General features: G+C 37.8%; 1 protein-coding gene across 58 annotated transcripts in view; it reads left to right on the forward strand.

Moving 5' to 3' along the window:
• NEK11 (NIMA related kinase 11) overlaps window positions 1-16782 on the forward strand; it is a 323589-nt gene that overhangs the window by 120068 nt on the left and 186739 nt on the right. For 49 of the 58 annotated variants that reach the window (XR_001740271.2, NM_001353038.2, NM_001353022.2 and 46 more), the window contains 4 exons: window positions 5444-5593; window positions 5687-5765; window positions 8092-8177; window positions 15464-15583. Coding sequence is in view for 57 of the 58 variants with exons in the window: in NM_001353038.2 (NP_001339967.1) it covers window positions 5444-5593; window positions 5687-5765; window positions 8092-8177; window positions 15464-15583 (435 nt within the window). In the remaining variant the exon portion in view is untranslated. The remainder of the gene's footprint in view (window positions 1-5443; window positions 5594-5686; window positions 5766-8091; window positions 8178-15463; window positions 15584-16782) is intronic. The other 9 variants (NM_001353045.2, XM_024453756.2, XM_047448977.1 and 6 more) reach the window with 1 other exon arrangement.

Consider the following 16782-nt stretch of genomic DNA (forward strand, 5'->3'; position numbering starts at 1 on the left):
GAATATTTGAATTGCAAATATCTTACACTATGTGTCTTCCTTTTCACTCTCCTAATGGTGTCTTTTTATGAGTAGAAGTTTGTAATTTTAATGAAGTTCATTTTATAAGTTCATAACTTTATCATTAGTGCCTTTTATGTCTTAAGAAATCTTTGCCTACTCCAAGATCATGAAGATATTCTCTTGTTTTCTTTTAAAACTCAGTTTTCTTCTCCTGTTTTCTTTTAAAGCTGACTCAATTTCATTCTGTCTTTCACAGTAACATCTATCTATAATTGATCTGTGTGTGTATGTGACTATATGGTATGAGACAGGAATCCAAGTACGTTTTTTTCTATATGAATATTCAATTGGCCCAGCATAATTTGTTGAAAAAGCCATATTTTCCTCTACCATGCAGTGGTTTATTTTTGCATTAATCAAGTGATTAAATATGTGTGAATCTGTTTTTGAGCCCTCTATTTGATTGCATTGGTGTATATTTTTTCTTCTTTGCCAATACCACACTTTCATAGGTAATATAACTTTATAATATAAGCTATATAACTTTATAATAAATCTTGATATTTGGTCATACAAAACTTCCAAATTAGTTCTTGTTTAATTGCCGTGGCTATTCAGGTTCCTTTGTATTTCCATATAAATTTTAGAATCTGCTTTTCAGTTCCTGCCAAAATGTCTGCTAGGATTTTGGTTGGTATTTCATGGGCCTCTTTAAGTGTGTTTTTGTGCAAGTTTATAGAAATAAAGGGCTTTGTATTCAGCAGTCTTGCGTAATTCCCTCGTTAATTCTAACAGTTTGTCAGGTCTTTGGATTTTTTTCTGTACACAATCATGTTGACATGATTAATGACAGTCTAATGTTTTCTTTACTAATCTTTATAGATTTTTTTAAAAATTTACTTTTTCTGGCATTATTGCTTTGGGAAGCACCTTCATTACAATGTTGAATAGAAGTGATGATAGTAGGCATTCTTATTTTGTTCCTAATCTCAGAAGAAAATAATAAACTTTCAATATTTCACCAATAAGCATAATGTTTACTATATATTTTTAAGCTTCAAAAAATCAGATTAAGGAAGTTCCCTCCTATATCTGGTGTGCTAGGAGTTTTCTTCTTTTTAAAAATATAATAAATTTTGAATTTTATAGAATGCTTTTTTTGCATCAGTTGAGATGGTGATACAATTTTTCAACTTTTTTCTATAATGAGATATATTTTGATTGATTTATTTTCATATATTAAGTCAACTCTGTATTTCTGAAATAAAATCTACATGGTCATGATGTATTATCTTTTTAATATGTCGTATTCTATTTGCTAATATGTGTGTGTAAATTTGGGTTATTTGAATCAACGTTCATGAAAACATTTGCTCGTAATTTTCCTTTCCCATAATATCCTTGTTATATTTTAGTATCAAACTTGTCCTGGTCTTACGAAATGAAGAGGTTGAGTAAGATTATTGTTATTTATTTCTTAAATATTTGGAAGAATTTATCAGTAAAGCCATCTGGTCCTGGAGTTTTTCTTTGCAAGAGCTTTTTATTATTTTATTTTTCTGTATTCAACAAATATCTATATTGAGAAGATAAAGGTAGCCACTGTTCTGTTGTTGTGCTGAAAATACATTGGTAGGCAAAAACAAAGCCAAACAAATACAGGGTCCTTATAAGGATTGCTTTATAATATTTACTTTTGAGATAGAGGGTCAGGGGATACTTCTGTTGTCTATCTCAGTTATTATTATTTTTAACTTTTATTTTAGGTTCAGGGGTACATGTGCAGGTTTGTTACAGATATATATATATATATATAATATGTCACAAGGGCTTGGTGTACAGATTATGTCATTACCTAGGTGTTAAGCATAGTACAAAATAGGTAGTTTTTTTTCATTAAAAATAAATTTTATGCATACATAATAGTCGTACATATTTATGGGGCACATGTGATATATTGATACAAGCTTACAATGCATAATGATCAAATCTAGGTTATTGAGATATTCATTGCCTCAAACATTTATCATTTCTTTGTGTTGGGAACATTCCAAGTCTTCTAACTATTTTGAAATATATAATAAATTATTGTTAACTATATTTTTTGTGTTTAAACCTTTATTTATTTGTTTGCTTATAGTTTGTTACAGCAACCGCCTTCTTTATTTTTATTTTTGAGTTCCTCAACCTCCTCCTCTCCCTCTACCCTCAAGTAGGCCCCAGTGTTTGTTGTTCCCTTCTTTGCATTCATGTGTAGTCAATGTTTAGCTCCCACTTATAAGTGAGAAAATGCAGTATTTGGTTTTCTGTTCCTCTGTTAGTTTGCCTCCAGGTTGATCCATGTTGCTGCAAAGGACATGATCTCATTCTTTTTTATGGCTGCATAATATTCCACAGTTTATTTTCTTTATCCAGTCTACCGTTGATGGGCGTTGAGGTTGATTCCATGTCTTTGCTATTGTGAATAGTGCTACAATGAACATATGCATGCATGTGTCTTTATGGTAGAACGATTTGTATTCCTTTGGGTATATATACCCAGTAATGGGATTGCTGGGTCAAATGGTCATTCTGCTTTGAGTTTTATTATCTTAAATAAGAAATTATCTCTGTTTAATAGATAAAAACTATTCAGATTATCTTTTTCTTCTTGTGTCGTAAGTTGTGTTCTTAAAAGACTGTTAACTTCATATTATCAAATTTATTGGAAAAAACATGTTTATAATGTCATCTTAATACTTTCTAATATCTGTGGAATCTACAGTGTTGCACTTTTTTCTATTTGTTATCGTTAATCTGTGTTTTTTTCTGATTTTCTTGATCAGCCTTGCTAGAAATCTATTAAATGTATTAGTCTTCACTGATTTTGTTTCTATTGTTTATTTCTATTTCATTAATTTCTTCTCTTTTAAAATTTATTTCCTTAAACTTTCTTTGGTGTGATTTGCTGTTTTTTTAACTTCTCAAATTGACTTATACGGTAGATATTAAGTTTTTTTGTAATATATGCATTTAATACTTTTAATTTTACTGTAAGCACCTTAACTGCATTCAATGTGTTGATATTTGGTATCTTTATTAGCATTCCATTAAAAGTGTTTTCTAATTTCTTGTTTGACCTAAGGATTATTTAGATGTGTATTTCTTAGTTTTCAAGCAGTTGGCAATTTTATAGTTTTTCAATTATCTCTTTTTCTCTGTCACTCTGTTATTCATGTCTAGCACAATTTTACTGTGGTCTGACTTTGAAGATTTCAGTCCTTAAAATCTGTTGAGGCTTGCTTTATGGCCCTGTATATTGTCAATTTTGGTAAATGTTCCATGTGCCCTTGAAAAAAAATTGAATTCTGTTATTGTTGGTTGCATTTACATCAACTTGCCAATTATGTCCATTTTGTCATCGTGTAGATTTTTTCTATCTTTATTGATTTTTTTAATTCTGTCAGTTCTTGCTTCATACACACACACATGCACATGATGCACATGCACACACGCACACATTATTGGGTGTATATGGATTTAGAATTGTTTTATATTCCTGGTGGTTTGTTTTATTAATCCACCATCTTAATCTTAGTAGTGTTTCTTGCCATTTTGGTGTTTGTATGGTTTTTCTATCAACCTCTCTGTATTCCTATATTTAAAGTTTGTTTTGTGAGCAGAATATACCTTTTTTCCAGTCTGATAATTTAGTTTTTTAATTGGAGTCTTTTCCCTCTTGTGTCATTTGCCTTATTTTTGTCATGAATTTTTATTCTACATAATTTTTAAACACCACAAGATATTGTTAATTTTATTTTGTAGAGTTAATATTCATTTATGCTTATTTTTTGGTGCTCTTTATTTCTTCTTGTACTCATTGTTTTTGTCTGGATCATTTTTCTTCTGTTAGAAAAATTTATGTCTAGGATTTAAGAAATGCTTTCCTGCTGGTAATGAAATCTCTGTTTTTGCTTGGCTAAAAACATCTTTATTTCCTCTTAATTTGAAGGACTGTTTTTTCTGGGTATAGAAATCTAACCAGATGCCATTTAATAGTCTTGCAGATAGATGCAAAATTTATTGATTTTCAAATAATTTTCATCATTTTTAATATTTACATTGATATTGGTATTCTAGTTGATTTCATGCACTTTCTTCTAACATCTCCCTCTTCTTTCTAGCATTCTTTAATGGAAACAGTCTAGGATTTGGAAAGATAAATGCCTTAATTCAAGAGTCAGTTCTACCATTTACTACCTATGTGACCTTGGCCAAGTCATTTAACTTTTCTGAGCCAATTTTCAATCTATAAAAATGGGAAAAATATTACACGGGCTCTATTTCACTGGGAAGTTATAAGGGATTGTTGAGATATTGTCAGTGCTTTGTAAAATGTAAAGTACCAGTCAGCTCAGTTGGAAATATTTAGTGTTATTATTTACTGGAACAGAAATATTCTCAGTGTACATATCCAAAATTCTCTTACAAATGCACAGTTTCATGAGTACCCACAAAATAGTTCAATGGTATTATTCATGTATTTATTTCTGTCTATCCTTTGTTGTATTAAGGACATTGTTAAAAGTTACATAAAATGTAACTTACACAAGGTCAATCACAAGTTTATTTCTTATCTTTCAAGTGACTAACATGAAAAGGAAAACCTGGACAGTTACATAATTCATAATGTCCATAAGATAAAAATAATTCATTATTCAGGAGAAGTGCCATTATTTCTTAATACTAAGCTCAGACAGGAATTTCCCTTTCAGTTTTTTTTTTAATGATGTAGAGTTATTTAAAATATTTTCCGGCTGGTTTAGAGGTTATTGATTTGCATGGTTAATCCAAATCAGTGTTGGACTTATCTAGAATTTTAATATTCTGTTTCATACTCACCATGGGAGAATTATACATTTTAATGTGGGCTTCAAGTAGCTGCTCTTCCACTCCACTTGCAAATGGATTATATTCAGAGAATAATAAATAATGCCAGTTTCCTTTTCAAAATGCTTGGATACACATTAGAGGGAAGGTTAGGCTGCTAAATTAAAATTATATTTTGCATATATAAAATTATCAAACTGCCTTAGGAAGATAATATTCAGCTGCATTTTATGTATTAAAAGCTAATTCAAAAAATCCTTACATTAATCAAATACTTAGAATTCTTACTATGTGCAGGCATACTGTTAACTCTTGATCTGCTTATTCTTTGATAAAAAAGCTGTCATTCAGACTTACTTTTGTGCTTTATTCTTTCACTTTTTTGGTTTTTTTTTTGGTAAACATGTATTTAAATGGAAAAAAACTGTATGAAACTGCAGTTTTAAGTCAACTACTGATTGTATGTTTGTGCCTCACAGCCAATGCCCCAACACATCTGAGGTTTTGTATGATGAAAAAATTTAAAATAGGATATTTGTTCCTTATTTAAATTCTTTGACTTTGTCTTCAGGTCACTGGCATGCATTTTGTATGAGATGTGCTGCATGAATCATGCATTCGCTGGCTCCAATTTCTTATCCATTGTTTTAAAAATTGTTGAAGGTGACACACCTTCTCTCCCTGAGAGATATCCAAAAGAACTAAATGCCATCATGGAAAGGTATAGAAATAAACATGTTGTCACAGAAATAATTTAAAGTTGTACTTATATTTTAGTTTACCTGAAAAATAATTTTCTGTTTAAACATTACAGCATGTTGAACAAGAATCCTTCATTAAGACCATCTGCTATCGAAATTTTAAAAATCCCTTACCTTGATGAGCAGCTACAGGTATTTAAAATGAAAGGGATTCTGGGAAACAGGTATGAGCATTTGTATACACATTCCATGACTTGAAGATATGCAGTGGGGATATGATTCAGTAAGAATCAACCAGAAAGGAGGAAAAAGGCCAAAAAGAAGCTGAGAGGCCGAGGCGGATGGATCACGAGGTCAAGAGATCGAGACCATCCTGGCCAACATAGTGAAACCCCGTCTCTACTAAAAGTACAAAAAAAATTAGCTGGGCGTGGTGGTGCGTGTCTTTAGTCCCAGCTACTCAGGAGGCTGAGGCAGGAGGATCACTCGAACCCAGGAGGTGGAGGTTGCAGTGAGCCGAGATTGCGCCGCTGCACTCCAGCCTGGCAACAGAGTGAGACTCTGTCTCAAAAATAAATAAATAAAAATTTTTTAAAGCTGAGAAAAATAGTAGTCAGGACAATCTCTTTCCAAAATAAGGTGTGTGTGAACTCCCATTCCCCAGTGCCACTGAAAATAAGAAGTTAGGTTTCTGATTTTATGCCAAAACTCAACATCCACCCTTGGAGCTCTGTTGACAGATCTTACCTGAACACTTTGTAACTATATCCCTGCAAGGACAAGAATATGCTAACAGAGGATGCTAAAATCTAGGGTTATCATTGACCATTTATAATTCCAATCCTTTATTACATATCTCAATAATACTTTTTAATGATTAGCTAGGTTTATTTTGTTTTCTTGTAAATTAGGAAATTTGACATAGAGGCTGTGTCTCAGGTATTAAGAAAGCAGAAAATGGTCCCCTCTTTAGAGGGCTTTTGTTTGTTTTTTTTTAAAACTTCTCAGGGTTTTACAATACAGGTCCCTGAAGCAAGTTTCCTCTGTAATTTTATGCGTAACTTTAAGAGGAACCACAAAATGGTCATCCACTTTAAAAACTGTGGGTACCTTTTCATCAGTGGGGCATGTTCCAAACCCAAAGGAAGCAAAGGTGATAAATGATGTGTACTTATTAGTTGAGTGCTGGGCACTGTGCTGACACCAGGGGATGCCAAAATGAAAGGAACAGGTATGTTTCCTGTCCTTTTGAAGCTTGACTGCTAGTGAGAGAATCCAATAACCAAGAAAAAGTAAGGATGTAAATAAAATAAGTATATGCCTAGCACTGGGAAGAAAGTATAATAAACAAACAGGATACTGTAAAAATAAGGGAGAAAGGAAGGGCTTTGGCGGTCAAAGGAATAGGTGACATTTCTTTACCAGTGAGCCAATGGGAAGCAACCAGCCATGTAAAGAGCCTCAGAAACAGTGTTTGAATCACAGGGAATAGCTGGCACAGAGAGGTCCTGATTATGTTGTGCCTTGGAGGTAGGTACAAATGGGAGGGTTCTTATGCAAGCATATGCTCTCAGGGAAGCCCATGCGGTCATGGGGAAGGCTAGACAGGAGAGGGAGGCAGGCTTAGGTTTCCTGATACTTCCAGCTCTCCTTCTGTGCAGGCCAAATGGGATCCAGTAGAACCTGCAGGTGGTCCTCTGGAAAGAGCCTCATATGCTGGTTGTGGGGATCAAAAACACATTGAAGAGGCTTTGAGCATTCAAAAAAAAAATGGGTCAAAAGGTATTCACAGGGATCTGCTGGGACCAAGATGAGGCAAGTGAGGCCCTTGACTCTGGGGCAAAAGTTAAGGGGACACTAAAATTCATAATCAAGATAAGTAATATTTTAAAAATCCAGATTAATGCTTAAAATCCCAGGTAACAAGATATTAACACTTTAAAGACAGAATCCAGCAGGGCCAGGATTAGGGTGAGGTAAGTGAGGTGGAATTGTGCAAGTTCAGGGTTGGATCCTATCTTTAAAGTTTTGCTATTGTATTCTTTATAGTTTTTTGACATTAATTTTGATTTTTAACAATAATGTTCATTAAAATTATTTATCTTGGCTACTGAGTTTTTTGGTGCCCTCTTAGATTTTGTGCCTGAGGTATCTCACTTGCCTAAACCTTGCACTGGCCCTGGGAGTGTAGATACTGTCCTCTACAGTCTGGGAGGTTGGAAAAAGCTTGTGTCTTCTTGTAGCTGAAAGTAGGCCTGCCCATGATTGGCAAAAGGGAGTGAGAGAGCAAGCAGTGCAAGATGAAGCTGGAGAGACAGGCAGGAGCCTGACCCTGCAAGATCTTCTTGGAAAAGCTACATGTAATTTTACATAACCCAGGGAAAACTAGCATGCTTTGTTCTCAGGCTCCCTGCCATGGTCAAAAGCACCCCAAATCTGAAAAGATTCTTGGTAATTTATTCCCTTTCATCCCTAAAGAGGAGCCTTTAAGATATGTCAGGGTTGATCTTTTTTTCAGAACCTAATGTGTAGATATTCAGAAATGACTCTGGAAGACAAAAATTTGGATTGTCAGAAGGAGGCTGCTCATATAATTAATGCCATGTAAGTAATTGCTTTGTTTTTAAAAAGCCCATCGAGTGTAAATGTTAAATGTATTTGTCTTTAAAAATCTATTAGCACTAAACTGACTGCATCGAGTATCCTAGAATTCACTTAAGTCTTGCCAAGAAATTAAGGAGCTTCAGGAACTTGGTGTTCCAAAGCCCTTTACCCCAGGTGGTAGCAAATTGAAATCATGAAAGTTTAAACCACTGCACAGCTTACAGATCTGCAGGGTAGCTCTGCAGTTGCCTTGCAAGGATATAGAGAAGTTAATATCTCAAATATTTAGTAACATTTATGCTAATGAGCCTTCCATAATAACCATAAATGGCTTTCACATGTTGTTTGTTTAATGTGAACTGGCAGAGTATCTATTGACAAGAAAACATTGTGGAGTCCTGAGACAATTGAAAATAAGCCGAAATTCACTTTCTTGAAATATACATTCCTTCACATAAGAACTAAACATTGTATTCCCCAAAGAAACATAATTATTTCCTGATCTAACTTCTCTCTCCTACCTCGTTCAAAATTTTTGTTCTATAACTTGCAAGAACCCAGAATACTAGGTTCTTATGTTCTGGATTTTTGCATAGTTTTACAGTCATGCACAACTATGGTATACAGGAGGTGTGCAGGACAGTGGGATGAAAACAGAAGCCCTCAATAGGCTGATCTAGCACAAATATACTCCTCCAACACCCAGTCCAATGTTTCTCAACGCTACCATGTTTGCTTTCCATCCTCACTTTCAAACTGAGGAAATTTGCATGATCTCCAGTTAAGATACACTATATACCACAGGGGGTAAATTTTTAGACGTGTTCTTAATAACCTTGTTTTTATGGTTTATTACCTGCTATTTCAAGAAACGTCGAAATTTCCAATTGTATTTTATTAACTAGAGATGTAAGAGTAGTAGATATTTTTTAAATACTGGACTAGTTTTAGCTATTATTTTGTACTGTAGTTATAAAACTGACACTGTTTACAATTAACAGTGTTCTAGAATCCAGTTGTTTGGAGGGTATTTTACATTATGAAATATTGACTTCAGATGGTCACTGCTATTTTCGAGATCTATGACTATGTTTCAAGGAGATCCATTGGTCTGACAAAATAAGAGATGTATATTCCTGAAAATTGCATGTCCTCTGGAGTCTGTTGTCTGGATGGTATCAGAGAGGTATTAGAACTGTCCTCAGAGGTCATTACAATTTTCTCATAGTGTTTGTCAAGGAAAGAGTTGGGTGTGAAAGGTCTTCTATAGTATTGGGTCCTAACCAAGTCAGGAAGAGAAGCAAATGCCATTGAGAATGTGGTTGGAGTTCTTTCAATGTGCCTTCCCTCTGAAGACTTTTAGAAGTGTGCCAGTCATCCCTGTCTATCTGGCTGCCTCTAGTCGGCCATCTTGCCCCTTCCCTCATGCTAAATTTTATTGATTGTGTCTTCTATTCCAGGCTTAATACAGTAGATATTTTTTGCTGAGGTATGGTGTAGTGGTTAATTGCACAGATTAATAACACTCTCTCAATTCAAATTCTAGTTCCCAGGTAATACTCTGTATTACTTTGGACAAGTTACTTAACCTCTCTATGACTATAAAAAAAAGTACCTACTTCATAGAGTTGCTCTGCATTTAAGTGAGTTAATTCATGTAAAGTGCTTACAAGCATGGGGTTATTACCTGCTAAAATGTTAGCCAATGTGATTATTTAGCCTCTTTTTCAGTTAAGGAAATATGCTTAACATTAATCATACATTGAAAGATGTTTATGTGCTGGTTGTTGGGATCGAAAACACTGAAGAGGCTGTGAGCATTCCACAAAAAAAAAAAAAAAGTCAAAAGGTATTCACAGGGATCTGCTGGGAGGAGGATGAGGCAAGTGAGGCCCTTGACCCTGTGGCAAAATTTCAATGGGACACCAAAACTCAGAATCAAGATCAAATTTTAATGCAATATTGTAAAATTCCAAATTAATGCTTAAAATCCCTGGTAACAAAATATTAAAAGTTTAAAGACAGAGTCCAGCAGGGCCAGGATCAGGTGAGGCAAGTGAGGTGGAATTGTGTAAGTTCAGGGTAGGATCCTGTCCTTAAAATTTTGCTATTGTATTCTTTATGGCTTTTTGACATTAATTTTGACTTTTTAAAATAATTTTCATTAAAATTATCTTGGTTACTGAATTTTTTTGGTGCCCCCTTAGATTTTGCGCCTGAGGTATCTCACTAGCCTAAACCTTGTGTTGGCCCTGGGAGTGTGATCATTGTCCATTACAGTCTGGGCGGTGGGAAAAAGTTTGTGTATTCTTGAACACAGAGTGTGTTATTAATCTGTGCGATTAACCACTACACCATGCTGCAACAAAAATATCTACTGTATTAAGCCTGGAATAGAAAACATAGTCAATAAAATTTAGCATGAGGTAGGGGACAAGATGCCCTACCTCTAGTTGGCTAGATGCAGCCAGGTGAGCCAGGTGGAACAGCTGCCACTGAGGGACCAGGATGACTGGCACACTCCTAACAGATCTTCAGAGGAAACAACTGAGAGTGGTTGGAGAGAAGACACAGAAGCTGGGCTGAAGGGGGAGGAAGGTGGGAATCCTGTATGGGGCCACTGTACACCTGTGCACCGGGACCTCCAGTGACGCTGGGGGAATGGGTGAGTTGAACTGGCAGAGAGCAACCTATTCTTGCCACAGGCCTCTGGAATCCTGGCTGGAGGACACCCCTTGACTACCAGGGACACTTGAGTTGGTAGGGAGAGCTGCTTAGAGAAGTGGTAGGGGCAGCACACCAGCTGATGTGAAGTCCAGAGGGTTTGGTGCTTGAGTGTCTGCAGCAGAGCATGGCCAGGGAGACCATCCCCCTAGGCTTGACTTGCTCCCATGGGAGGCTTTAGACCCAGGGGAACTGTCAGACTTGAACTCTGCAGGCAGTCTTACCCATCAGAGGGGGCTGATCTGACCTGAGCACCCCTTGATCTTCTGGCCTCTCCTGAGGCCCAGCCTGGCCATGCCTGCTTGCAGTGCAGCCACGGGTGTCTTGGGGGTCTACATCATAGCTCCCGTACTGCTGAGGAATCATGCCTGACTGGAGGAGAGATCCAGTAGGGAGGCCTGCTCCTTCCCCTAACTGCAGCTTCCTCAGGCTCACAGCCACCACCCTCCCCATGTTGCTTTTCTGGCATCTATATACATGGGCAGATTTTGACTTTCCTGCCCTGCCAGCGTGCATGTGCATGCACACTGCCCTGCTACTGCTGCTGACAGGAGTGTATCCCACCTCACCTCCCCTGCCATTGCAATCAGAGCCTTGGCGGGCACAGAGACAGCCAGCCCTGGCCCTACCAGCACCCTGCCCCTGTACCAACACTGCTGCTAGAGTGAAACTAGGTGCAGAGAACAGCGGACCCTTCCCTGCCCTGAGTGGCCACCCCTACCTGTGTCAGCATGCACAGAGGTTGCACACAGACCTATGCCCACAAGTGCTGCACCCTGTGCTAACACCACCACCAGCAGGACCACATGCACAGTTGCCAGTGGAGGGCCCCGGCTCCCTGAGCCATTCTGTCTCTGCTGCTGCTGTGAATGCCCACAGGGAGACAGGCACCCTGACACCTGCTAGCACCCTTCCACAGCTGACAAGTCTGCACCCCTCCACACTGCCACTCCACCACCACTGCCGCTGCTGGCACATGCAAGCAAGGATGGATCTGCTGCCACCATCCTACAAAATGGTATGGCTGGCACCATCCATCAGAGTGTAGTGACCAGCTGTCCAGGAGCACATAGGCCCCCCCAGCGCAATGAGTTGACGACCTTGAGGAGCCAGAGAGCAAAATTGGGGCCCAGTACAAGTCTCCCAGAGTTAGAGCACACAGCCCAGGAGCTGGGAGCTGAGCACTGGCTGCCTAAAATTTTCCAGAAACAAAACCAGTCTACTGAATCCACCTTATAACACAATCAAACCCTCAAAGTTATCAAGTAGAATAAAAGGAAAAAACATCCAAAGGATAGCATCTTCAAAGATTGAAGGAACTTCAGCCCACAAAGATGAGATAGAGCCAGTGCAAGAACTTCGAGAACTCAAAAAACCAGACTGCCTTCTTTCCTCCAGGTGACCACAGTACCTCCGTAGCAAGGGTTCTGAGACAGACTGAGAAGGCTGAAATGACAGAAATAGAATTCTGAATATTAATAGGAATGAAGATCATTGAGATGCAGGAGCACATTCAAACACAATCCAAGGAAGCTAAGAAACATAATAAAATGATACAGGAGCTGACAGAAAAATAGCTAGTATAGAAAAGAATGTAACTGACCTGATTGAGCTGAAAACCACACTGTAAGAATTTCAGGCCGGGCCCAGTGGCTCATGCCTATAATCCCAGCACTTTGGGAGGCTGAGGTGGGTGGATCATTTGAGGTCAGGAGTTTGAGACCAGCCTGGCCAACATGGGGAAACCCCATCTCTACAAAAATACAAAAGTTAGCCAGGTGTAGTGGTATGTGCCTGTAATCCCAGTTACCAAGGAGGCTGCGGCAGGAGAATCGCTTGAACCTGGGAGGCGGAGGTTGCAGTGAGCTGAGACAGCACCATTGCACTCCAGCCTGGATGATGGAATGAGACTCCATCTCCAAAAAAAAAGAATGCAATCTCAAGTATTAGTATCAGAATGGACCTAGCTGAGGAAAGAATCTCAGAGCTTGAAGACTGGTTTTCTGAAATAAGACAGTCAGGGAAGAATAGAGAAAAAGGAATGAATAAAACCTCCAAGAAATATGGGATTATGTAAAAGAGGTCAAATCATGTCCCTGAAAGAGGTGGGGAAAATTGAAGCAATTTGGAAAACACAGAAATACATTGCATAGAAACATAGAAATTTCATCCATAAGAACTTCCCCAACCTAGCTAAAGAGGTCAACACTCAAATTCAGAAAATGCAGAGAGCCTCAGTAAGATACTTCACAAGAAGATCATCCCCCAGGACACATAATCGTGAGGTTTTCCAAGGTCAAAATGAAAGAAAAAATTTTAAAGGCAGTTGGAGAGAAAGGTCAGGTCACATACAAAGGGAAGCCCATCAAACTAACAGCAGATGTCTCAGCTGAAACCTTACAAGCCAGAAGAGATTGGGGGCCAACATTCAACATTCTTAAAGAAAAGAAATTCCAACCAAGAATTTCATATCTTGCCAAAATAAGCTTCATAAGCGAAGGAGAAATAAGATCCTTTTCAGACAAGCAAATACTGAGGGAATTGTTACTACCAGACCTGCCTTATAAGACCTCCTGAAGGAAGCACTAAATATAGAAAGGAAAGACCATTACCAGCCACTACTGGTACACACTGAAGTACACAGACTCTAAGTGACACTATAGAGCAACCATACAAACAAGTCTGCATAATAACCAGATAACATCATGATGACAGGATTAAATCCACACAGATCAATCCTAATCTTGAATGTAAACAGACGAAATGCCACAATTAAAAGGCACAGTGTCGAGTTGGATAAAGAAGCAAGGCCCAACTATATGCTGTCTTTGAGACCCATCTCACATACAATGGCACACATAGGCTCAAAGTGAAGGATGGAGAAAAATCTACCAAGCAAATGGAAAATAGGAAAAAGCAGGGGTTGCTGTTCTAATTTCAAACCAAACAGACTTTATACCAACAATAATCAAAAACAAAGAAGAGCATTACATAATAGTAAAGGGTTCAATTCAACAAGAAGATCTAACTATCCGAAATATACATGCACCCAATACAGGAGCACCCAGATTCATAGGGCAAGTTCTCAGAAAGCTTTACACCAGTCAGAATGGTGGATCATGAGGTCAAGAGATCGAGACCATCCTGGCCAACACGGTGAAACCCCGTCTCTACTAAAAAGACAAAAATTAGCTGGGCGTGGTAGCGTGTGCCTGTAGTCCCAGCTACTCAGGAGGCTGAGGTTGGAGTGAGCCGAAATCGTGCCACCGCACTGCAGCCTGGCAACAGAGCAAGACTCCATCTCAAAAAAAAAAAAAAAGAAAAAAAAAGTCAAAAAATAGATGCTTGTGAGGTTGCAGAGAAAAAGGAACACTCATACACCATTGGTGGAAGTGTAAATTAGTTCAACCATTGTGGAAAACAGTGTGGCGATTCCTTAAAGACCTAAAAATAGAATACCATTTGACCCAGCAATTCCATTACTGGATATATACCTAAAGGAATATAAATCATTCTATCATAAAGACACATGCACGCATATGTTCATTGCAGCATTGTTCACAATAGCAAAGACATGGAATCAACCTAAATGCCCATCCATGGTACACTAGATAAAGAAAATGTGGTACATTTACACCATGGGATACTACACAGCCATAAAAATAACAAGATCATGTCCTTTGCAGCAACATAGACAGAGCTGGAGGCCATTATCCTTAGCAAAGTAATGCATGACCAGAAAACCAAATAATGCATGTTCTCACTTATAAGTGGGAGCTAAATGATGAGAACACATGGACACATAGAGGGGAACAACAGACACTGGAATTTTTCAGAGGGTGGAGGGTGGGAGGAGGGAGAGGATCAGGAAAAATAACTAATGGGTACTAGGCTTAATACGTGGGTGACAAAATAATCTGTACAACAAACCCCTATCACTTGAGTTTACCTATATAACAAACCTGCACATGCATCCCTGAACTTTAAATAAAAGTTAAAAAATAAAAAAATAAGATTTAGCTATTAAAATACTAGCATTTTGGAATACTTTTTATGTGCTAGGCACTGTGCATATGTTATCTCATATGATACTTACTGTAGCCCATTCTTTACAGATGAGAAAACTGAGATTCAGGGAGGTTCAGTTACTTGCCCAAGGCCACAGAGCTAATGAGTGGTGGAGGTGGGATTCGAACCCTGCCTAACTCTAAAGATTATGTGTTTTATCCACATGGTGGAATTACTGGGCCAGTCTATTTACTCTTTAATGGCCAAGATCCTAATTTGTTTTACATTATGAAAACTAGTCATTGGCGATGAAATGAGCAGGAATTTGGAAAGTAAATAATTTCCTTTAAACAAAAATCTAATTTGAAAAATGTTGCTTATTAACTACAGTCCTGGTTGGCTCATTACATACCCAAAGCTTATTAGTTTTTGCCTGGCCTGTCTCAAGATGCTTTTGCTCTCAGTAGTGTAGTGATACTTTTATAAAATATTTGTTTAATTTTTCTGAACATGTTTGGGATGGGCTATATGAGGGGAATCTTTGTTATTTATAGGCAAAAAAGGATCCACCTGCAGACTCTGAGGGCACTGTCAGAAGTACAGAAAATGACGCCAAGAGAAAGGATGCGGCTGAGGAAGCTCCAGGCGGCTGATGAGAAAGCCAGGAAGCTGAAGTAAGCTGCTTTTCCTTTAGGCACTCATGCTCGGGACTACTTCTCAGGGCTCTCAGGGAATTTACAGAGAAAAGCAAAAACCAAAACAGGAAACCCCAATGCATACGATTATGTATTTATGTGTTTATTCATTCACTTGTTCACTCCAAGATGATTATTGAGCCATAGATTGAATGTCAGGTGCTATTAATATCAGGCTTTCAGTCTTGTGTGAAGGGAAAGATTAACTATTTGGGAGGTTATTAGTGATGAAAATAGGGTCAGTTTCCAAACGAAATCTCATTGTTGTTGACAGCTTCTGCACATACCCCAGCAGGAGACATCACTGTTTCACCCGGATTCCCTAGGTGCTTGCTGCGTACCTTCTACCAGGAGACCTCACTTATTTATAGGAAGGAGACTTTATTGGCAGGAAATTGTTAGCTTTTGGAAGAAGTAGACTGGAAACAGAGCTCTGTTCTGTCAAGTGAAGCATTTAGAAAAGTCTATGCTCAGGGCGATGTTGCTGGTGGGAGATATCACTAGTAATTAGAGTATTTACATGAAAAAGTGAAATTTCAGGTGTTAGCCAGGATGTAGAGAAAAGGGAACCCTTGTGCAGTAGTGGTGAGAATGTAAATCAGTACAGCCATTATGGAAAAATAGCATGAAGATTCCTCTAAACATTAAAAAATAGAACTACCATATGATCTGGCAATCCTACATTTGGACTTATATCCAAAGAAAATGAAATCAGTATATAGAAAAGATACTTATACTCCAATGTTCATTGCAGAATTATTCACAGTAGCCGAGATATGGACTCAACCTACGTATCCATCAACAGATAAGGGGATAAATAAAATGTGGTATAAATACACACAATGGAGTACTATTTAGCCTTAAAAAAGAAGGGAATCCCATCATTTGCAACAACATGGATGAACCTGGAGGACATTATGTTAAGAGAAATAAGCCAGGCATAGAAAGACAAATACTGCATGATATCACTTATATATGGAATCTTAAAAAGTTAAATTCACAAAAGGGGAGAGTAGAATGGGGTTACTAGGGGCAGGGGGGCATGAATGGGGAAATGTTGTCAAAAGGTAAAAAGTTTCAGACAGGAGAAATAAGTTCTGGAGATCTATTGTACAGCATGGTGACTGTAATTAATAACAATGTTTTGTATTTTTGAAAATTGCTAACAGAGTAGAGCT

This window comes from Homo sapiens, chromosome 3, assembly GCF_000001405.40.
Source record: "Homo sapiens chromosome 3, GRCh38.p14 Primary Assembly".
Lineage (NCBI taxonomy): Eukaryota > Metazoa > Chordata > Mammalia > Primates > Hominidae > Homo > Homo sapiens.